Raw genomic sequence first — 24,225 nt, forward strand, 5'->3', positions numbered from 1 at the left:
AAGTTCGCATGGAGGAATCTCAAACTTCCAGATTGTTTATTTCCTGTTGATATCTATAGCCAAATATTCTCCTTCCTGATTTGAAAATATTGCTTATCTCTTTTTTTTGTACTCACCCTTAATGAATTTCAGGCTGATTTAAAGTAGTTTCCTCATTTTCTGACATTCATTCACTTGAATTCTATTTCTCTTGTCTGTGCTAGAAACTATTCACAAATGATTCAAGCTGTGACATATGGCAGTGTGTCACACAGGTGGATTAGTAATTCTTTTCTGGTTTTCTACTTTCGCCTCCACAGAATAACTGATTACTTTGTAAGGTTAAGAGTAAGAATATACGAGAAAAAATACATTGGTTTTTATTCTGCTAACAGTAGACCCAGGATTTCAATGCCTTCACTTGCAAGGAAAAGGCTCCCCCAGAGCCTCTTAGAGGCTCCAAACTGTGTGAGCAAAGTTAAGGATCAGTAAGAGTGGGGTCATATGAGAAGACCTTAGAATTTATGTTATAGATGAGAGTGTTTGAAATCTTAAGATAATAAGAGGTACAGCTACACCACAGATGTGATAGGAGACCTAATAGTCTCATTCTGAACCAAAGGTGACTTCTCCTGTCACTGCCTATGACAATTGGCATTGAACCCCATCCTCCTTTTAGAGCACAATATTCATTTTATTAGGCCATTGTGAGAGATCTCAGCTCAGCATAATGGGCAACTTCCCGTGACTCTGGGCCACTGGGTTATTCTGGGACTTAACTACTCTGAGTTTTCTCACTAGAAAGTTAGTGTTCACACAAGGAAAAGGCAACAAGAACCTGGTGGTCTGGGGTTTACTCCTGTTCTCCAGTCTGCACAACCCCCTCTTTCTCTACCGTTGTGTACATCTTTATAGGTCTTGAAACCTTTTGCCCACACACAAATGCCTACTGTTTGTCCAGGCTCTTGCCATAAGGCTATAGTTCTTTCTCTTATTTGGGAAGGAAAGTGCTTTGTATGAAGTAAAATGCTGATTCCTAGGAGTTGAGGAGTGTGAGGTCTCCCAGGAGCAACTCAGAGGCTTCCTTCCTCGGAGCTGGAACTGGCATGCCTGATAGGGTTTCCTTGGGTGAATCCTTGATCCTTAGTAGAGGGTACCTTGGCCAGGAAGAACAAAGCTCACTCTGGTTCTTGTATTTTGGAGGGCTGTTATTTACGTAGAAGCAGAGTCTGTCCTTCTCTTGCCAATCAAAAGGATTTCAAAGCTGCTGTACCAAGAACTGTTTTCAGATTACTGGTTTCAGAAACTATTGACCCTTGTCCTCCCTTTCAATAGTGAAATCCCAAAATGGTCCTAGGAGAGACAAGTAAATTCTGACAGCTGCTTAGAGGTCATCTTAGAACTAAATTCCAAAGAAATAATTTTAGGCTGATAAAGAGTCCAGAAAAAGGAGGAGGGAGAGAAAAAGAAAGAATTAGTTTAGTGTAGCGAATGGTAGCTATTTGCAGCTCACCCACGTGTGCTCCGAAGGTCAAAACCCTACATCAGCAATTTGTAGCAAGCTCTTGAGCTCCTCTACCTCTTAGAAAGCACAATTGAATCAGATATCATATGAAAGACATACACACTTCATGTAATGCTACCTGCAAGTCTCCCTAGAAAAGCAGTTTTTGTAGGTGAAAACAATGAAGCCAGGTAATATTGCAAGGAGGCTGTAATTTTAGCAGACCTACCAACAACACTGATGTAGGAAGCTCATTATTTTAATTTCTGGAGCCTTTTAATTTTTTCTTTAGAAAGTGTATAAATAATTGCAGTGCTGCTTTGCTTCCAAAACTGGGCAGTGAGTTCAACAACAACGACAACAACAGCCGCAGCTCATCCTGGCCGTCATGGAGTTTCTTGAAAGAACGTATCTTGTGAATGATAAAGCTGCCAAGATGTATGCTTTCACACTAGAAAGGTAATAGATGTCTGTGTCTGCTTCACAATTTTCTCTGTTGAATATCATCCAATTCCTATACCTTGTTGCTTCTGAATTGTAGGCCTTTACTCTGCAACTTGGGGGCACTCTGGAACATTTTATAAGTTGTTGACTGACATGTATTTTATATTCTGAAAAATGCAATACTTTATATAGTTGATTTGATTCCTTAAATATCCTAAGTGCATAAAGAACACATTTTACTGATGTGTTTTTCATCTGTCATGTTTATTCCAGAAAATAGACCTATATAATCTGTTTACTTTTCCTTTTCTCAATTATTCTCAATTTTAAGATAGATAGTAAATTTTATTATATTATATTTAGAAAAAGTTAAGACTTCAGCTACATGGCAAAATTGTGGTTGTATTGATCTTAAAATGAGCTGTTGTTTTCATGCTTATAAAGTATCATTATTAATATACATACCTATAACAAATATAGCTGATTTTAATGTTCTACAAAGTATTCCATTTCTTTTTAATGTCTCCCACAGTGTCACATGCAATACATTCATTCATTTTTCACTTGGTTAACAATTATTGATTGAACACACCTGTAGTAAGTGCAGAACTTATAATGAGAAAGAAAAAAATGTCTAGTTTCAGATCTTTGTCCTCTTGAAACTTAGTCTAATGTGAAATACATATTAGAACTAGGCAATTACAAAACAGTGTATTTGTGTCATATTGAGGGTGTTCAATAAGAATAACTGGACTTTGGAATCAGAGGAAGCTTTCTCAGAAGTAATAGGCTAAGAGCTAAAAATAAAAAGGAATTAAAGTAGGGTTAGGGATAACCTACATAGAAAATAGTTTTAAGGAAAGTTTCCCAGACTTCGATAATTGCACAGTAAATATACTTTCACATACATAAGAATGTGAGCTTGGTTTGTTTGAGGAGTTGAATCTGAATGGGGTTCAAAAAAGGAACACATTCAGTGAATATAAATGAGCTAATGAAAATCTGAAAAGAATTGATGTTAGAAGAAGAATTTAAGAGAATACTTGCCCATTAATAATACGTGTAATGTTCTTGTTTGTTTCACAAAGCCAAACTAATATTCTAAGGAGTAGTGATACTATGTTTGGGAGCATCAAATATTTTAGTAACAGCAAAGAGATTTTATAAAAAGGATATTTATAACTTGGCTTAAAACAAAGAATCTAGCAATCTCACATTAGAAGAATTATTTTTCTTAGAAAATAATATTAGATATGATGTATTGAGGTTATTAACATAAAAAACAAAGCCTTGTGGTAAGTCAGGCAGAAGTTTTGGACAAAAAATTGTTAACCCTATGGATACTATCAATAGAGCATCTCCACATTACTGAAATAACAATATTTCCCTTCTTATTAACATAGACTATTAGCATTTTGTTGCACAAATAAGCCAACCACTTATAGTTACAAAGTCTCATTCACCCCATAAATAGGTATGGTTTTCAGGACACAGTGTTTATAAGAATTGTCAAACTCATTTGTATTTTCTTGTCAAGGGAAATAAATTAAATCTGGAAGAGATTATTTATCTCGATCCCTCATTTTACCATGTAGGAAACTGAATGCCAGATAGAACAAATGCCTTTCTTGAGGTCAGAATAAATGTGTTTCTTGAGGGCAGATGGCTAATTACAACAGAACTGGGCTGTGGACCCAGGCCCCCTTCTTGTTAATTTAGTGTTCCCCTTCTCCGTCTACATCTCCTGTACCCATACATGCACCATGTGGGCTCCTGAATCCTTAATCTATCTCCTCCTTAGGTCACATGTCCCTGAATTCCCTCACTTACTCACTTCTTCCCCCACCTCTACCAATCTATCTCATTTATTTTGTTCTGTCTCTATTAGTTGTGGATAACTTTATCCCCTGATATTCCTCCTCTTTTCTCCTTCTACCTCTTTTTCTTTCTACTTTCTATTATCAGCTTTCTATTTAAATGGTTACTGGCTGTTAAGAAACTTACTCTGAAGAAAACTTTATTATCTAATTCCACAAATGGAGTGTTCCATTTATCTATGGCTGTGCAACAAACTACCCCAAGATGTAGTGGCTTAAACAACAACTATTTTATTACGATTCTCTGGGTCAGGATTTGGGCAGCATTCCATGTGAATTAGTTGGAATAGAAGGCTGCATTCTGCTGGTATCTGGGCTAGGCTAGAAGGTTTAAGATGGCTTCACTCACATGACTGAGATCTTTGTGTTGGCTTTTGCCTGGGGCGGGGGTCTTAATTCTTCTTCCCATGGCTTCTCTCCCTGTATGATGTCTCACTTTATCTGGTTAGCCTGGAATTCCTTATGTGACAGTCCAGAGTAGCAAGAGAGCAATAGTGGAAGCTGACCATTCTCAGATAGCTTAAGCCCAGAACTGGCACAGTATCATTTTTATCACAATTTATGGGTTAAAGCAAGTCCCAAGTCTCAGATTCCATGGGTGAGGCAATAGATTCTATCTCTTGATTGCATGTGCATATTGGATGACAGGAATTGCTGGAGGTAATCTTTACAGGCATTTTACCACAGGAAGTAGTAATATTGGACCCAGTAGGTGCCATGAACCATATTTTTTTACCCTCTCCATTCTCTCCAAATCTGTTTCATTGGTGGGATTCTCTGGGCTTTGGGTTCATTGTAGCAAAAAAAAAAAAAAAAAAAAGAAAAAGAAAAAAAAAAGTCGTGTAAAGTTGAACTACAACACGAAAAACAATCAATGTTTTTCTTGGTGCTAGGTGGAAGGGATCAAGTTTCTCTTTTCCCCAAGCCATATGTTGAAGAAGTGCAGAGGAAGTAAGGGCAGGAATAGATGGTAGAGGTAAACTGCTAGAACCTTTACAACAACTATTTAACTGCTAAAAATTATAAAAAAGAAATGAAAATCTCTGGAAGTTGTCTTAAGGGCATGCAGAAAATTAATAATTATTTATTCAAGAAAATCTAAATCTCAGTAAGAAGTGAGCGTCTATGGCATTTGAGCCAAGATCTGCTCCATTAACCTCTGTTCTTCCCAAGCTCAGTATGATGAGAGCTCAACTCTGAGTGGATGTAGCCAAAAGACTGGGCTCCCTCTCCTCCCAGCTTCCAGTTAAAGATCATAGTTCACCCCTAGAGCAAAAGGCTGTTGGAATCTCTTATTGTCCCAGCTTCAGGTTGCAGAAATTCTATTCATTGTAGACAGGACCAAGAGGACTATGGTTTCCTTCCTCTACCCAGCCTCCTCTCATAGGGTATAATCTCTAGCCCAGGAGCAGCAAGGTCCTGAATATCCCTGCCCTGGATCACTCATAGTGTATAGGATGTATTCCAGGAGGCATAAGCAAAAAAGACTAGGGACTACGATCCGTATTCAGTGCTCCACTTGTGGAGCAAGAGTATTGCTCCAGGAGAAGTAGGTCACTGTCTCTTCTGCCAGCTCTGGTGCAGTGGTGTAAAGGTACTACTCATAGGAGAGGCAGGCCATAAGAATAGAGGGCTATGTATCTTTCCCTTAGAAGACTGATGATACATAAGCTGGAATTTTATTTGTAAGACAGCATAGGGTATTTCAAGCATAGGGACACTGTTGAAAACAATGAAGATTCTTCTGGTGGACAATTAAGAGTAGGCTTGTTGCTTCATGATAGCAACAAGATAGTGGCAGACCAGCTAGAAGTTAAGCAAAGACAGGCAGAAAAAGAGGTAAAAAATGCCCTCTTGGATTTGGCACTAGCCACAAAATTTGGCCTCAAATATTACCCCTATAAAGAAGCCTGTTATAGATTGAATGTTTATGTCCCCCACAATTATATGTTGAAGCACAAATGCCAGTGTGGCTGTATTTGGAGATAGGGCCTCTAAGGAAGTAATTAAGGTTAATTGGGGTTATAAGAGTGGGGTCCTGATCTGACAGAATTAATGTTCTTATAAGAAGAGACTCCAGATAGCTCACTCTCTCTCTCTTTTTGGGTGCACACACTAAGGAAAGACCACGCGAGGAAGTAACGAAAAGGCAAGCATCTATTAGCCAGAAAGAGAACCCTCACCAGTGAATTTGCTAGCAGCTTGATTATGGACTTCCATCCTCTGGAGCTGTGAGAAAATACATTTTTGTTGTTTAAGCCACACAGTCTGTGGTATGTTGTTATAGTAGCTGAAGCAGACAAATTTAATTGGATCAGATTGTTGGTCAATTCATACCTCAGGGTATTATTGAAAACCATAGAGCAACAATTCAGCAAACAATTAAGAAGGCCAAAATCTGGGTGTGATACCAACACAGGCAGAACAATCACTTAACAGTGAGATAGTGGAAAGAAACAGTCAAAGTGAACACTACTAAAATGATTATTATCCCTTGGAAATGGGAGAGGATAAGAAAGACTGCATCTACCCAATGATGCACCTTCTGAGGAATGGCAACAGAGGCTGCGCATGCAGGGAAAGTCAGACAACATCTGGTAAAAAAAAAAAAAAAAAAAGTAGAAACAGTCCAGGTGTTGTATTTAGAATTTGAATATTTCAAAACAGCTATTATAACTAGGTTAAAAGAATTAAAGAAAATCAAAGAACAAAGAATTAAAGATAGATATGATTTAAAATGTCTCATAAAATTGAGAATATCAATGAAGAGTTAGAAATTATTTTTTAAAAAAGAACCAGATGAAAATTCTGAAGTTGAAAAGTACAATAAATGAAATTAAAAATTCACTAGAGGGGTTCAACAGTAGAGCTGTACTCATAGAAGCTGGCAGAAGAAAGAATCACTGAACTTGAAGATAGATTGGAAGATATTATGCAACATGAAAAACAGAGAAAATAGAATGAAGTAAAAAAATCAACAGAGCCTCAGAGAAATGTGGTACATTGTTAAATGCATTAACATATTCATAATAAGAGGGCCAGAAGGAGAGAGAAAAAGGAGCAGAAAAACAGTCAAAGAAATAGTGGCCCCAAACTTCTGAAGTTTGTTGAATATTAATCTACACATTCATGATGGTCAACAAACTCTAAGAAGAATCAAGCAAATAGATTTACATGCTTGCACATTACAGTAAAACTATTAAAAGCAAAACACAAATAAAAAACCTTGAAAGCAGCAAGAGAAAAAAGAAAAGATTCATTATGTATGAGAGCATCCTGATCAGATTAACAGCCAACTTCTACCAGAAGCAAAGGAGGATGGCAGTGAGATGACATTTAAAGCTGTAAAAGAAAAAGAAATTCCTATCAACCAATAATCTTACATCTACCTAAACTATATTCCTAAAATAAAGATGAAATAAAGACAAACAAAATCTAAGATAATTTGTTGCTGGATTCACTTTACAAAAATCAGTAAAGAAAGCAATAGTAAAGGAAGAAATATTAAAGAAAACAAATGACACCAGATATTAAGTTGAATCATTCCTAAAAAATAATAGCACCAATAAAGGTAATAATGTGGGTAATTATAAAAGACAAATGATTTGTTCTCCTTTTTCCTCTTAACAGATTTAATAGTAAACTGCATGAAATAAAATGTATATAATCTTAGATGAAATGGATAAATTCATAGAAAGACACCGACTACCATATGAACTTAAGAAGAAATAGAAAATCTGATAAGTAAAGATATTGAATTATTAATAAATTTCATAAAACCTTACACAAAGAAAGCCCAAGTCCAGATGTCCTCACTGGTGATTTCTACCAAAATTTAAAATAGAATTAATATTAACTCATCACAAATTCTTCCCCAAAATAGAAGAGGTGTAAATACACTTCCCAACTCATTTTATGAGGTCAATATTCTGCTGATAGCAAAAAAGGAGGAAATATCACAGGAAAATAAAACTACAGAACAATATCCCTTATGAATACAGATGCAGTAATCCTTGAAAAGACTAATGAACTGAATCCAGCAACATATAAAATTACGAACAATGATAAAATGGGATTTATCCCAGTAATGCAAGCTTAATTTAACATCTGAAATACAAAGTGATACAACATATTAATAGGATACAGAACAAAGCTCACATGATTATCTCACTAGATGCAGAAAACGAATGGACAAAATTCAACACCCTTTAATTATATAAACACCTGTGAAACTAGAAATAGAACGAAACTTCTTCAAAAGCATCCATGAAAAACTTGCAGCTCATATCATAATTTTTTTCAATAGGTTTTTTGGGAACAGGTGGTGTTTGGTTACATGGATAAGCTCTTTAGTGGTGATTTCTGAGATTTTGAAGCACCCATCACCTGAGCAGTGTACACTGTACCAATGTGCAGTCTTTTATCATAATTATGGTGAAAGCCTGAAAACTTTCCCCTAAAATCAGGTACAAGATAAGGATGTCCACTTCAATGAGTTCTACTCAACGTGGTACTGTGTGTTCTAGCCAGAGCAATTGGGAAGACAACAAAATAAAAGACATTCAGACTGGAAATAATTTAATAATCTGTGCATTCATCTTGTTCCAGTTACACTTTGAAGTGGTTTATATGAATTAGCTAAAAATCTCTCAAGCAGCCTATGAGAGTGATGCTATCATTATTCCTATTTTCAGATGGGGAAATTGAGGCACAGAGAGGTTAAGTAATTTTCTTACAGTCATATGACTAGTGAGTGGTAAGGGTGGGAGTTCAACTGAGGTGGTGGGTTGCCAGAGCCCAAGCTCTCAGCCTCTATACTGCACTGCCTGCCACTCAGCCCCATCTTGGGAATTGGCATGCCCTTCTCCAGGTTACTCTAACCAGAAACCAACAAGTCATCTTTGAGTTGCACCTCTCTATTATTCCCCCTTAACTACTGTTATTTATTAGCAAGTCCTATTGACTCCACCTCCCAAAAGTCCCTCAAATATGACTACTTCTTTCTATTTTTATTGTCACCACGTGGGTCAAAGCCACCAATGTGTTGGCTGTAGTCACCTCCTAAGGGTTTCTATGTTTTGATCTTTTACACTCTAGTCTTCCAGGCAGCACCCAAAGTGATCATTTTAGAAATGTGAACCATGTAATGTTACTTCCCAGCTCAAAACTTTCCAAATTTTTCCTTTTAGACCTTGAATTAAATTAAACTCTTTATAATGGCCTGAAGTGTTCTGCAAAATCTGATCCCTTTTTTGACCTCTTTATATTTCACTCTTTCTTTACGCCACAGGGGACACCTATGTAGTTTTCTTTCTGTTCAAGACAAGCACTTGAACAAGAAAATCCTTCTTGTCTTTGGGCATTTGCTCCAGCAATGCCCTCTACTTGGGATAGCCTTCACTCACATAGGTTTTCTCCTGGTAATTCTATAACTTGCTGCTGAGATATCACCTCCACAGCGGTGCCTTTCCTTCCCACACAATTTAAGGTAGTTCATCTTCCCTTGCCTTCTCACCATTCATCATACTATATAGCCTCTGTTACTATTGATTCATTTACTCTTTGTCTCCCTCTACTAAAATACAAGATCTTTAAAGAAGGAACTTTGTTTTTCTCATACAACATGGTATCATTAACACTTCTGATGGTGCAGGCCCTTTTTAGGTATGCAGTAAATATTTAATGATGAATGAATGAAATGTTAGACATTCATGGTGAGGCTGAAGCTTTTATCTCCCCTTCTAACAGGAATAGTGATTTGAGGTTCTTGGGAAAATTGATATGAAAGTACAAAAGCAAAGTGATTTTTATGTGCTCAACATTTGAAATAAGAGGATAAAAAAATACAAATTTTACCAACATTATTTTGGAGATAGAAGCAAAGTTCTACCACTCAACAAAAAAACATTAAAAAATAAAAGCTTCTCCAAGATTGCAAAAATAAAGTCCCATTTTCTAAATCCCATTTTTGGAGATGAAATCAAAGTTTTAGAGTACTGGCATCAAATTTTCTAATATTTCTGTACTTTTTCATCTCTTTTTCTCCGTCTTTTTTCTCTTTGATGCTACAGTAAATTTCTTTGGCCTATTATTCCTAATTTTTAAAGCTTTGGCCATATTTGAATGCATGGGAATCTTCCAGGATTTATTCATTAACAGCAGATTCACAATTCAGTGTTTGTTGCATCATAGCATTTGCTTTTTATAACTTTCTTCTTAAAATAATACTTAAAATTCACATCATTGTTCTGATCAAGAGCCTGTTCTGCATCTAGAGATACTTAGATGACTTGACTTTAATGAGATGATAAGGAATATATCTTAACTTTGGTTTTTAACTTCTTTGAGGTCACAGGCTCTTTTGGGAGCCAAGTGAAGACTGTGTACTCTTGCCTCTCCCATAAAACACACACACACACACACACACACACACACACTCACACATGAACACATCGTATACAATTCCAATGGACCTTATGAAGCCCACTTTTGGATTTCTGGCTTAGTTCTTCAAGGAGCAGTCTCAGCTCAGAGTATATCCATATTTGTTAACCTTAGAACCCAAGACAGGGAAGCAGTACACAAAAGTAAAAATTGCCCACATTTTCACACTTTCCTCCTTGTGGCATTGCTCAGGGGCTTTTCTCCAGGTTTGATTCTTGCTTTGGACTGGCTTCTGAGCTGCTCCAGGATAAATTATCTCTCCTGGTCACTGACTACTTGGCTTTCCCTGGTCATAAGATTCATGAGAAACATAAAATAAAGCAATGCTTCATATGACCACAGCATACCAGGCAGTTCCAGAACAATTGGTGAGCCTGCTTTGCTCATGCTGTCTTCTCAGCCCAAGGAAACAGTAAATCTCAACAATGTGTTCAAGTTAGTACTCAGGTTCCTCTGAGATGATGGCCACTGGGGACCCAAACTACCAAATTCTGTGGTTATTATTAGGATATTATACATAACAAAAGCAAAAGTCTACTCATTTAAGATATAAATACTTTATTTGTTACTTTCCAAATTGTTCTTATTCCAACTAAGAAGATTGTTTGGAACTACTCAAAATCCTGAGTGCTATTCACATAACTGATAAAAAACCAATGTTGTAAATTGGCTTTAATGTATATTCCAAAGCCAGTTTGGCAATATATGTCAAAATCCTTAGAAATGTAGGTACCTTTTGACCAAGTAATTTCCCCTTTAAGATTCCACTTTAAGGAGATAATATATTGAGCAAAGATTAATTATAAGGATGTGAATCATAGTAGTGCCTATATGAGCAAATAATTGGAAAAAAATGAGTTGTCCAATAATTTAAAAATATTAGTTAATTATGCTATGATATAGCTATATTAAATATATACTGCCTTCCATATTTTAAACATAATGATATAGAAAATTTTATAAATGGAGAAAATATTAACAATATTGATAGCTGAGAATCAGGTTCAGAATCTGTATCTTTGGTAGGATCCTCTTGTGATGCAATCATCTTATTCACATCCATTCTAGCGCTTCCCCACTGAGGAGCAGCCCTGTGGTTTAGGTAGAATTTTCCCTATTCTCAGCTCTATGAGTCAGCATGGCTGGGTTTTGCCAGTCTTCTGAGTATAATAATGCCTAAGTCAATCAGCTCATCCATATTCCCCTGGCTATAGTGGTTGTTTCTCATTTAGCTAAATCCACATGCACATCAAGACTGTTGTGTAGCAGTTTGAGAGGGGATAATCTCTCTATGTATCTGTTAAAAAAGAAATACATAGTTTGATTACTTTTGGCAACCATCCCACTACCATGGGGAAGATCAGCTTGAGGTTGAAGAATAGCTGAGAGCCACAGAGAAATGAATCTGGAGACCTCGTCAAAAAGTATCTGAAACCTGGCCCCTCTAGATGTTTTCAGTTGCAGAACCAATAATTCTTATTTATTAATTATTCTAGCAAGAGTCTTGTTTTCTGTGCTTATAACCTAAAGCATCCTAATTAATATGGAATCTAATTATGTAAAAAATATATTCATATATTACAAAGCTACACAATAAAATATCAATAATAATTGTCTCTTGGAGAGGATTACCAGTTATTTTTCCCTCTACTTTGTGATTTTTTTTTGTAATCCAGATTTTCTATAATGAATATATATTATTTTATTCAGAAAAATCAAATATAATAATAGAGTCAGAATAATAATTGTCATCTAAGCCAAAACCATCAGACTTTTAATTGTGAATGGTGATAGGCTAAATGAAATGAAGTGAAAGCTAATATATTGTTAGTTTTGTTTGTTTGTTTGTTATTACCTTTCAGAGTCAGGAATGCAAAGTTCTTAATTCCAAGACTCTTATTTATTTCTGTACATGAGTTTATTTTTAAAAATTTAAAAATCTGATTAGTTCAAGATCCATGGATTTTGACATCTGCCTTCCTGACTCAATATTAGGACACCTAAAATTGGTTTTAGGCATGACAGAAGAAACACTGAGCTTGGGATTCCCACTCCAAAATTTCCTGGATATTTGACCTCAGGCAATTACTTAAACTTCCTGAACCTTAGTTACTTCAGCCAAGAAATATGGGGTTGCAGTTAAGTGAAATAAGCCAAGCACAGAAAGACAAATATCACATGTTCTCGCTTATATATGGGAGCTAAAAAAGTGGCTCTCGTGAAGATAAGAGAGTAGATTGGTGGTTACAAGAGACTGAGAAAGGTAGAGAGGAGGAAGGTATGAAGCAAGGTTGATTAATGGGTACAAATGTATGATTTGAGAGAAGAAAAAGATCTGGTGTTTGATAGATCTGTGAGATGACTATAGTTTGCAATTATCTATCATATGCTTCAAAATAGCCAGAAAAGAATAATTGAAATGTTCCTAGAATAAAGAAGAGAGAAATATTTAAGGTGATGGACATCTCAAGTTTACTGATTTGATCTTTAAAAATTATATGAATGTATTAAATTATCACATGTACCCTAAATTAGTTATATTTATTATGCATCAATAAAAATTGTTTTAAAAAAAGAAAAAAGGGGTTAGACCAAATGTTATCTACCTTTCCATCTGTGAAATTCTATGAATGAATCTAAATCATGCTTTGTATTTGAGCAGAACTGATATTCACTGCCTGCTTTGGGAAGCATAAGTAGGTTTCAACTCTTATCATAACATTAATAATTGGTAGCCACTGTCTGCAGAGCGGTGGTAAGAATGTCTCTGAGAGTACTTACGGACTCAGCAGGAAACAGTGCTATGATCTGTCAATGATGTTGATGTGTATTTGAATCCTCAGTCTGGCTCTTATACACATATCGTAATGTACCCTAATTTATTTTATTATTATTTTTTTGTAGCACAGTGTCCACAGTCTTTTTAGAGTGAAATAACTGGGAAGAAATCCCTTCAAAATGTATCTGCTTCTTTTCTCCTATTCCTTTGATATCTCTTAATAATTGGTGGCATTGACTGAATAAGAGTTTGACTGAATAAAAGTAAAACTTTTAGTAGTTGAAGTTTAGAAGGAAATTTCTAGCTTGTTTCTAACACTTGATATTTTCTTGTAGAAGGAGCTGCAAATGAACACTTCATAGCAAGTAAGCAAATGTCCTAATAGCGGTTCCAAGTATGGGCAGGGTGGGTCAGTGAGTGGCTTGTTTGCAACTATGTTCACTTCTTGCTTCTGTCAAACTCATCCATAGTGTGGAACTCCAACAGAAACCGGTGAATAAAGATCAGTGTCCCAGAGAGAGACCAGAGGAGCTGGAGTCAGGAGGCATGTACCACTGCCACAGTGGCTCCAAGCCCACAGAAAAGGGGGCGAATGAGTACGCCTATGCCAAGTGGAAACTCTGTTCTGCTTCAGCAATATGCTTCATTTTCATGATTGCAGAGGTCGTGGGTGAGTCTTTCTGCAGACTTTTTTCATTAAACAACCAAACAAAACTCTGCATCATTATGGGAGGGTTACCTAAGTTCTTATAAAGTAAGATTTAATATTTTCTGTAAGTATAAGGTAACAATATGCTCATTGTAGATAAGCTGAAAAATAGAAGGAAACAAAATAAAATTCATCACTATTCCATATTTGAGCTATAGCCTTCAATAATTTTAGGGAGTGTTTTGTACAATGCATTTTGTATTCATAGCTCACAGGTTTTATTTTTTAAACATAACTGAGAGCATACTGAATGCTTTTGACCATACTGTCAAATACTCCTCAAAAACATTTTTATGCCTGAACAATATTCTCTAATATGCTCCACTGTAATTTACATAACCATTTCTCTATTGTTAGAAATTTAGGGAGTTTTTTCCTGCTTATGGACAATGCTGCAATGCAAAATCTTGAAGAAAACTCTGCCTGTCTTTCTGGTTAATCCCTTCAAAGAGATTCCTAAAAGTGAAAATAATTGGTTGAAGGACATGAATATTTGTATTACTTGATTCATATTGCCAGAGTGCTGTTGAGAAAGCTAAACAATTCGTCTCTACCAGCTCTACTTGAGAATGATTCTGACTCCAAATCTTAATGACACCTAATTTTAATCTCTAAAATACTTTGCTACTGTATAGATGAATGTTTTATTTTAATATTTATTTCTTTAATTGTTACTATTAGACTATTTTTGCATGCTTATTAGTGATCTGTATTTCCCTCTGTTAATGCATTTTCTCCTTGTCTCTTAATGTCTGTTACTCATTCGTTTTTTAGAAAATTTTTAGTTCTCTATATTGATCTCTGGGAGCTCTTTATATATTAGGATGTTAGACCTTTGTTATATTAGTTATAAGTGCTTTTCCAGTTTGTTGTTTAACCTTTTGATGTTTATTTTGACTTAGAGATGTTTTAAATTTTATATAGGTAACTGTTTTAAACTTTTCATTTTGAGCTCATTTCTTTTACTACTCTCACTATTTTAGTGCTTAACAATCCTTCTCCATCTACTGAGAAGATAGCTTTTTTGTTGTTTAATTTTTGCATTTGGTTTTAAAATTAATGTTCACATTAGATATATTGTATGCTCTAAGGACTGAATTTTTTTCTAAATAACAGTTTTCAGCATCATTTAGGAAATAATTATTTTCCCCATTGATTTTTTATATTTCTTTAATCACTTATCAAAACTTTATAAATAGCAGGGTCTGTTTCTAAGGTGTTTCACTGATCTGTGTTTCTGGTCTCTGTCAAGGACATAATTAATGTAGATTTATATGTTATAATATCTGTTATTTCCTACTCATGATTTTTAATTTAACAAAGAAAAGCAAAGGCTATTCATCTCTGTTTATTATCCTAATTAAACATGAGAATTGTTCTGTTCAGTTTTCCCTCATCCAATTATGATTTTATTAATATTCAAGTTAATTTGAGAACACAGTATCTTTAAGTATTCAGCTTTCCCTCCAGGAATATGTTATGTTTCTCCGTTTATCCAAATATTCTACATGTCTCATCAAGGTTTTATGGTGTTCATCTTAATACATGGACAGCCTATTTCTTGCAAGACTTATTTGTGATTATTATATGTGTTTGGCTTATTCTTTCCAAGGGTGAATGCAGTCCACCGTTTTTCATGTTTTGTTTTCTAAATAGTTACTTTTTGTATTCTAAAGTTTTGATTTTTGTATATTCACTTTGTACTCAATTATATATTTGAATTATTGTCAATTCTAAATATATTTCAGTGCATTTCCCTTTTTCCTGTCTCATGGATCTTCCTCATCCCAGGACATCACCCTGTCTTGTGCAGAAAACATATTTCCCCTCATTTCAATATTTATATCTCTTTTGTGTGTTTCGTGTTTTTATCACGTTAAACAATACCTTATGCTAAATCAAATCTATGTTTGATTATTTAGCTGTTAAGCAAAATGCTTCTTGAAGGGTTAAGTGTTTTGTATTATGTTAATGAAATGTTTCTTTGTTTCAGTTTTGTAATGATTAACAAAGAATCAAGGATGAGTGTTGACTTTTAAGCAAATACCTTTACTTTTGACTTTGTTTTTTAAAGCTTTTTGATTCTTGTTTGAGGTGTGTTATGTTAAGAGAAACATGATATGATCTTTGCATTTTTGGCATTATGATAGTAGCTATTATTTATTTAATGCTTACTATGTGTTAGAAGCTGTGACGAGTGCTTTCCATGTATTACCTTAATTAATCCCGGTGAATTCCCTAAGAGGTGGCTCTTATTGTTAATCTCACTTTATAGAAGGAACTAGAAGCACAAAGGCTAAAACACTTTGAATATTAAACACTGAAATAAACGTGAGCTATACACACATCTAAGAAAGATGATAAACACAAGTGAGATAATTACGCAATTTTGGGTGAATCAGTGCGTGAGGGTGGTCATAATGGTGGTGGTTACATCAAGGAATAAATGTTTGCAAAGTGAAAATTGTCAGGAGTGCCTCCTGCTATCACACAGTTCAAACTCAAGAAAAAATGAGCTGGGCTTGCTGAGCACTTTCATACTGTGTCTTTTTATGGGGGGCATCTGTATGATGATCATCTACCTTACACATATTTATTTTACAATCGTTTGTTTCCATTCATTCCTTTTTCAGCCCGCTTATTTCAGTTTCATAGCTGGAGTCTGTCCCAGCAGCTCAGGGTTCAAGGTGGGAAAACAGCCCTCCCATCACAGGGCACAGTCACTCACCCACACTCACTCCCGCCAGGACCATGTAGACACGCCAGTGAACCTCATGTGCACAGAATGTGGGAGGAAACCCTAGTACTCAGAGAAAACCCATGCAGACATGGGGAGAACATGCAAACTCCACACAGACAGCAACCCTGGTCAGGAATCCATTTTATTTTCTTATCGACATTATAAACAAAGGAAGTTGAATGAAATGATGTTATTTGAGGACGTGTTGTTGTACTTGTTAAGTAACAACTCAATGGGGTTTTGACACAACATATGGTATAGTATAATAGTATTCACAAAATAATTAAAGAAGAATTTAAAAATATGTTAATTAATAGCACACAACTGTAGCCCAGCAATGGGACACATGGCTAACGTTGTCAGATAAACATTCTTTCATTGCTGTCAGTAAGTCTGTGTTCTCCATGGAAACCCGCATGGGGAATTAACACCATCTCAGTTGGAGGTGGTTTGTGAGACCCAGGCCCCATCGTTCCTCTGCTCTATTGCTGTCACCTTCACTCCACAGGCCTTAAGTCAAGTCTTCCAGGTCTGAGTCTTTTCTGTGTGTCTCTTATCTTGTTATAAGTGTACTGCTCTGCACATCTTGTCAAGTATTCCAGAAATATGACTGCTGCTGCCCTAGTTCATGCCTTTATCATAATTTCCCTTCGCTAACACTATCGAGACTTTAAAAGAAAATTTTTTTTTTGAGACGGGGTCTCGTTCTGTCACCCAGGCTGGAGTGCAGTGGCCCGATCTTGGCTCACTGCAAGCTCCGCCTCCCGGGTTCACGCCATTCTCCTGCCTCAGCCTCCCGAGTAGCTGGGACTACAGTCGCCTGCCACCACGCTCGGCTAATTTTTCATATTTTTAGTGGAGACGGGGTTTCACCGTGTTAGCCAGGATGGTCTTGATCTCCTGACCTCGTGATCCGCCCGCCTCTGCCTCCCGAAGTGCTGAGATTACAGGCGTGAGCCACCAAGCCCGGCCAGAAGTCTCTCTTAAATACAGATCTCAACATGCCACAGCCTTGCCTCAAAAATAATAAGTAGATCTCCTTAGCCATAGAATCACATTCAAACCCTTTGGCTTGACATATAATACCCCACACAGGCGTTTCCAACCTGCCTTCCCAGGCTCATTTCCCATTTTTCCTCCAACATTCCATACCTTCTGCTTTTCCCGAAAAGTTCTATGTTCTTTCACTCTATTTTAGTCCGTGCTTTTATCTCTTCCTGAAAACCCCTTCTCTTTTTGCTAATTCTTACCCCTCTCTTTGTGAAAAGTTCCTCACTCTTCCCAGTGAGGGCAGCTCTCTGATCCCTTAGCCCATTAACTTGTCTCTGGTACAGTGAGTGTTAAACAAGGAGATCACTGAAGAGAGGCTGTTATTTGTTTATCTTTGTATACCCAATCCCTGGTACCATGCACAGTAAGGGCTCAATAAATATTGGCTGGATAATTGAATTAATTGTCAGTAATACTCCATGCTTTCAGAAGCAAATGCAAGATCAGTCACAAACTACCTCTTGCAAGCAGTTTGCTCTATGCATCAGTGACTGCCCGCAGTTTTCTGGATGGCTCTTATAAGTAGCTCTGAAGGTTGCAAAATGGTTCTCAGTTTCCAAGCCTCCATAGTAACATGCTTATTCCAAAGCAAGCCCTTTTTCTTTCTCAGGTGCCTCCTGCCTCAGCTGAGACTGTTGAAGAGAGTTTATAAAACTGACTTCATTTCCTTGATTTAGACTATATTTCAGCCCAGCACATAGAATCGTCATCACTCATTGCTGTGATTGCAGCGTACTGCTTATCTGCATGGAGTTATTCTCTGGGCAAGAAATAATGCCTTATTAACACAGTTTTATCATCAGGACCAAGTTTGGCAGATAGAGCAACATTAGAGGATAATTGGAAGGACAGCTGATTTGTTAGCAAAATGTTGCTTTTTGGGTAATGAATCATTCTGATTTTTGCAGTGACTGTTCAGTAACAAGCTTGAAGATTACTTTGCTTCAGCCCATTAAACCTTGACAAACCAGTTATTAACTACGGCTAGAGCCAATGGCCTGTGGGGATTATTGCAATTATGAGCCATCTATGTAATTTTTAAAAATTAGGCGAGACAAGGTGAGTCTGATGATGGCGGGGCTGATGGCTGACAGTCTCTGCTATTTTGTAGTACACAAGGCAATAAACAGCTGTAGGGAGAACTAATCAGTCAGCAAAAGCCCTTTGCTGGGAAGATGTAGTAAGAGCAATAAAGGTTATTGCTCTCAAACAACAAACCATGTCTGGGAAGGAAAGGGCAAGGTTTTTCTTTAACTTCTATTTTGGAGGCTGGAGGTCTTTTCTCAAAGGAGGATTAGAGGGAAGTAGAGGGAGCACATCAAATAAAGGGAAAAGCCAGGCAGGACTCTCATGGCTTACATTGCATCCCTATGCTTTATTGGATTGTAGCACTGAGGACGCCCATTGGAAGGTACCTGCCCTTTCTCCTTTCTGCTCCCTGTTATTTCTTACAGGGATTTCAAGCTCAGGTGGATAATATATATTAATAGAGAAAAAGGAAAGGGTAAAGATGCTGATTAAATTATAAGTCAAATAAAAACACATCTGTGGGCCAGATCGCAACATCTAGTTTATAAACAAAAGTCCATGTCCTCAGTCTGGATTATGAGACTCTTTGAATCTGACCCGCACTGCTTCAGCCTGATTCTCTTGTATTCTCCTCTTTTGAATCCTTATACCCAGTCTAATTAAGGTGTTCTCCAGATGTGCCTGCCCCACACTTTCTAGTCTCTATGTCTTTTCTACCCCAGGAATGGCTTCTCCTTTGAAATTGATTTCTACATGTTCAAATCATATCCCCTCTCTGAGTCGCAGAAGGGGTGAATTAAATCAACTTTAAGATCTCTTTTTCCTCTAAAGTTTTGTGAGTCTGTGGCATTTTCACCCATGATGGTTAGCATGTCTGTGAATCTAGCTGCATTCTGGGACCTTAACACAGTGTACTATTTTGCATTCTCTAGGTGGGCACATTGCTGGGAGTCTTGCTGTTGTCACAGATGCTGCCCACCTCTTAATTGACCTGACCAGTTTCCTGCTCAGTCTCTTCTCCCTGTGGTTGTCATCGAAGCCTCCCTCTAAGCGGCTGACATTTGGATGGCACCGAGCAGGTACGGTTCATAGAGTGAGCAATAACAGCAGGCTGGTGCTGCAAAGTCAAACCAAGGGTAAAAGTGGAAGACACGAAGCAAAGCCTTGTTGGAAAGTCCTTAGAGACACATTTCTGATGCACAGGATAAAACAAATGTGTATGTGGGAATGTGTGTTTTCAATATTAATTCAGATAACAGACAGATTAATGGTGCTATCTCTAGTCCTCTGGGACAACAGGAACACGTGTATCACTTCAGCAACTGCCCCAGCCTCAGGGACTCTGTGTATGGTGACAGACATAACGCAATTCATTAAATTACTCTGCATCCCTGGAAGAGAGGATAGGAGTAAAGCTTCTGCCATATTGCAAAATGAGGCACAGAGCACCCAAGAGAGTTATAGAGATTGAAGAACTTCTTATAGAGGATTCAGGAATAGAATATAGGCTTTCCTGCTCACACACAGCATTTAGCCATTCAGCCATTGGTCCAATTGAATATCTTGCTCGCTCAATCAACAATAATGCAAAAAAGGAGGAGGAGAAGGAAGAGGAGAAGATGAAAGTTTACTTTTTCTCCTTTCTTGCGCTGGTTCCTTCACTGAATAACTGCTTACTCTTGTATAGGCAGTAGCCAAGGTCATGATAAGGGGTGTGTGTGTGTGTGTGTGTGTGTGTGTGTGTATTCATTCTTTATTGCTCAGTTGACTGTTGTAACAGGAGGAAAGCAAACACGTGCTGAAACATGTGCCTGAGCCTTGCCTGCCATTTATTAAATGTGGTTCACGTGTGCTTCCTTAAATAATTTCACAATAGACAAATGAATCCACTCTGATTAAGAAAGGGAGAGAAGAAGTCTAGTGCAAATTCCAGCCTTCTCAACTCATAATTATAGGGATTTCAAATAACATGTATGCACTAAAACAGACATAAATAACTTAACCAAGTAGCATAAACAACTTGGAGGTCTCTAAATTTGGTATATAACACATTTGACTGTATGCTTTTTTAAATTTTAATTTTAATTTTAATAAGTTCTGGGGTACATGTGCAGGATGTGTAGGTTTGTTACATAGGTCAACGTGTGCCGTCATGGTTTGCTGCACCTATCAACCCATCATCTAGGTATTGATAAGGGTTTTTACTTTGACTCATTTTTACAGTCCCTCCCTAACCCACCCCCACAACCCCCACACTCTGCAACTTCAATTCTTCTCCTCTGTGTTATTCCTTCTATCAGCTGGAGGAGGTTCCGGCTGAATATTTTGTGCAAATCATGTGAACAAATAGCCACAATTCCACATTTTCACACTGGTTGAGAACATCCATGTAGAGGAAATTGGAGAGCTGAGCAAGGGTGGCCAGCCTTCACTGAAAGGGCTGCTAGACACATATCACAGCTTATAGACTGATAACTGTGGACTGCGGCTTTTCAAGTTTAGAATGGCAGGAAGTCCTAATTTCATACTAAACAAACACTTGATCATCGCAGGTGTTTTGACTTGCTTCCCTTTAACATTCAGGAGATGAGGCAATAAACAGCAGTAAAGAGAGTTTGTGACAACGTGATCTGAGAATGTTTTTGCTGGTGCTTGAACAGCGCTACACTTGGAAAACATGGACCTGTAGCTAAGCACCCATTATTTGTCTGTGTAAAGTTTTACATGTACTTGACCCTTTCTGATACCATTTGTCAAAGCAGTTTTGTAAACCTAGGATGATTTGAAAATGTAGGGTGAACTCAGAATTTAGATCTCTGCTTGTACTTTGGCATCGTGGCCATGGAAGACCCTGAGCTATTAATAGAACTCTCTGCTGCGAGGGCAATATTCTGTAATATACAGTAAAATGTAGCTATTGAGCACTTTAAATGCAGCTAGTGCTACTGAAGAACCAGATTTTAAAATTTACTTAATTTCATTTTAAGCAGCCATGCATGATTGGTGGCTACCATATTAAACAGCACCTCTATAGATACAGAGGTGAGTCCAACACATTCATACGCAACACACCCATAATCTGGCCAGCCCAATGAGCCCAGCTAAGCTAACTTATTTCTTTTTTAAGCAATCATTGTAACATTTACCAATGATCCTCATGTGCCTCCTGTTCTAACTAGTTACTTTTGGATTTCTGACTCTTTGTTTTGTCTTAAGATCTGACTCCTGACTCTTGCTCTTGGTATTGAGCTTTACCTCGCCAGCTCTTTTCCCACTGTGCTTCCTAATCATGGGTTTTGAGTTAGACACACTCCACTTTCATACCCTGTTTTGGATTTTCATGGATAGGAAGCACACTACCTGACATCCACAGACTCAACCTCCATTTCCGGCTAACCAGAAATTCTTGGGCTTGGTCCTCATAAACTTCTGCAAAGGGGAGTCGTAAGTAGCCTGAGTAGACTAATAAAATAACAATTTCTTGAGTGTTTGCTATATGTTATATTAGGTTCCTAGGGCTGCCTTAATAATGTACTACAAATTGGGTACAGTATTTTGGGGGGTACATTATTAATTTTCATAACAAATTATGAAGGTTGTCTATGAATGAGGTCGGGGAAATAATTGCCATACACTGGGTAATAATATATTACATTACTTGGTTTTAAATACATTTCTGTTTAAACAACAGACATTTATTGTCTCACAGTTATGAGAAACAGAAGTCTGCAATCGGGCGTCAGTGGGGTTGGTTCCTTCTGAGGTCTGTGAGGGGAAGTCAGTTCCAGGCCTCTCTCTTAGCTTCTGGTGGTTTTCTGGGAAACTTTGTCATTCCTTAGCTCATAGAGCTCTGCTTTCATGTTTACATGGCATTTTCCCAATTTGCATGTCTATGTCCAGGTTTCCACTTTAAACAAGGACACCAGCCATATTGGGCCCATCCTACTCCAATGTGACCTCATCTTAACTAACTTAATCTGCAGTGACCCTATTTCCAAATAAAGTCACAGTCTGAGGAACTGAAGATTAGTACTTTTTTTTTTTTTGAGACAGAGTCTCACTCTGTTGCCCGGGATGGAGTGCAGTGGCACAATCTTGGCCCATTGCAACCTCCACCTCCCCGGTTCAAGCAATTCCCCTGCCTCAACGTCCTGAGTAGCTGGGATTACAGGTGCACATCACCATGTCTGGCTAATTTTTTTTGTATTTTTAGTAGAGATGGGGTTTCACCGTGTTGGCCAGACTGGTCTTGAACTATTGACCTCAGGCAATCCGCTTGCTTCAGCCTCACAAAGTGCTGGGATTACAGGCATGAGCCGCCGCACCCAGCCAAAGATTAGTACTTTAACATATAAATTTGGGGGGAACATAATTCAACCCATAATCTATGGCAACTTGTTTTACATATATTCTATTATTATAATACATATAGATAAGAAAATTCAGGCTCAAATAGGTTAAGTGACTTGTCTAAAGTCACATAGCCAGTCACTGGCAGGCCATATACGTCTGACACTTGAGCTCATGCCTTAAACATCTGCATCAGCATTTCCCATAGTGTGAGAAATGTTCCACAGTTGGTTAGTCAGATAATTTTAAGTGTCATATGGACAATAATTACACATCCTGATGCACATTACAAAATAAACTAGCACATCAAATATGTAATTTCATGGATAACATTGTTTAGGAAGAAGCTAAGTGTAAAAAGTGAATTTATTTGAAAAAATATCGAGTGGTTAATAAGACAGGTAGCATGTGGATTTGGAAAACGTTATGAAGGTTGTCTGTAAATGACTAAAGTCTGGGAAATAATTGCCACACAATGGGTAATAATATATTACATTACTCTGCTTTAAAAGGAACTAATCTCTGGGATTAGCTTAAAGTGGGGAAGGACTAAATGATGGATTGTACCTGACCACTGACTCACAGAATGTTTCTAGACCTTTCTGGGTTTTTAGAATCTATGGGTTTGAATTAAAGGTCAGAGTGAGGTGTTAACTCCTAAGTGAGCAAATGCACTTTTCTCAGTGGGCAGATTGAACACCATTTTATCTTTACATATTGATGTAAACACTTCTATTCTGATGCTTCTTTTTCGTACTGTTGCTCTTAAAATGCAGTCAGAGTGTTAGTCAGCCTCTGAGCTCACCTCTGTGTTTATAATATGTTGCGTTGGCAAATAAAACTCATTTTCTTCAAGTGCTCTCTGAAGCTTTCCCTTTTCACTATTTTATTCCATTGAAGGTGCTGGCACTGGCAGGTCGTAAATTTTTTATGGCAAAATTAAGAGTTTCTAAACACATTTTACTCTCTGTGTCTCATTATTTTACCTCCTAATAAGTTTCAATCATTTTAGCACCTGTTTAAATTAAGATCCCCAAGGAAAACAGGGGGTAGGGGCAGGCAGCAATTAATATGTTCTAAAAATTTGCTGAAAAATTACTTAGTAAGATGGAACATAGTGACTCAGATGCTGGTGTTTTATGAATGCAACATTAAAATACTTTCTCTTAGTTTTAAAATCCATCCACACTTTTACTTTGTGAATCACTGGATGAACTAATGTGAAGCCTTTTTGGGGGAAGTGGCAAAGTGTCTTATGACTCTTGGGGGTGTAGGTGTAGGTGATGGAGTTATCTGTGTGTGGGTTTCTGTGTGTGTTTG

At 37.2% G+C, this 24,225-nt stretch overlaps 1 protein-coding gene and 1 long non-coding RNA gene across 11 annotated transcripts in view; one reads left to right on the forward strand and one right to left on the reverse strand.

The window, feature by feature from the left end:
* SLC30A8 (solute carrier family 30 member 8) overlaps positions 1–24,225 on the forward strand; it is a 226,498-nt gene that overhangs the window by 183,240 nt on the left and 19,033 nt on the right. For 2 of the 6 annotated variants that reach the window (NM_001172811.2, XM_024447083.2), the window contains 3 exons: positions 13,363–13,392; positions 13,498–13,697; positions 19,488–19,634. In NM_001172811.2, the coding sequence (NP_001166282.1) occupies positions 13,574–13,697; positions 19,488–19,634 (271 nt within the window). In that variant the 5' untranslated portion in view covers positions 13,363–13,392; positions 13,498–13,573. Of the gene's footprint in view, positions 1–1,538; positions 1,943–13,362; positions 13,393–13,497; positions 13,698–19,487; positions 19,635–24,225 lie in introns of those variants that run through there. The other 4 variants (NM_001172813.2, NM_001172815.3, NM_001172814.2 and 1 more) reach the window with 4 other exon arrangements.
* Positions 1–24,225, reverse strand: part of LOC105375716 (uncharacterized) — a 436,284-nt gene that overhangs the window by 49,020 nt on the left and 363,039 nt on the right. The gene's annotated exons all lie outside the window — the stretch shown is intronic.

Source organism: Homo sapiens, chromosome 8, assembly GCF_000001405.40.
Source record: "Homo sapiens chromosome 8, GRCh38.p14 Primary Assembly".
Taxonomy (NCBI): Eukaryota; Metazoa; Chordata; class Mammalia; order Primates; family Hominidae; genus Homo; species Homo sapiens.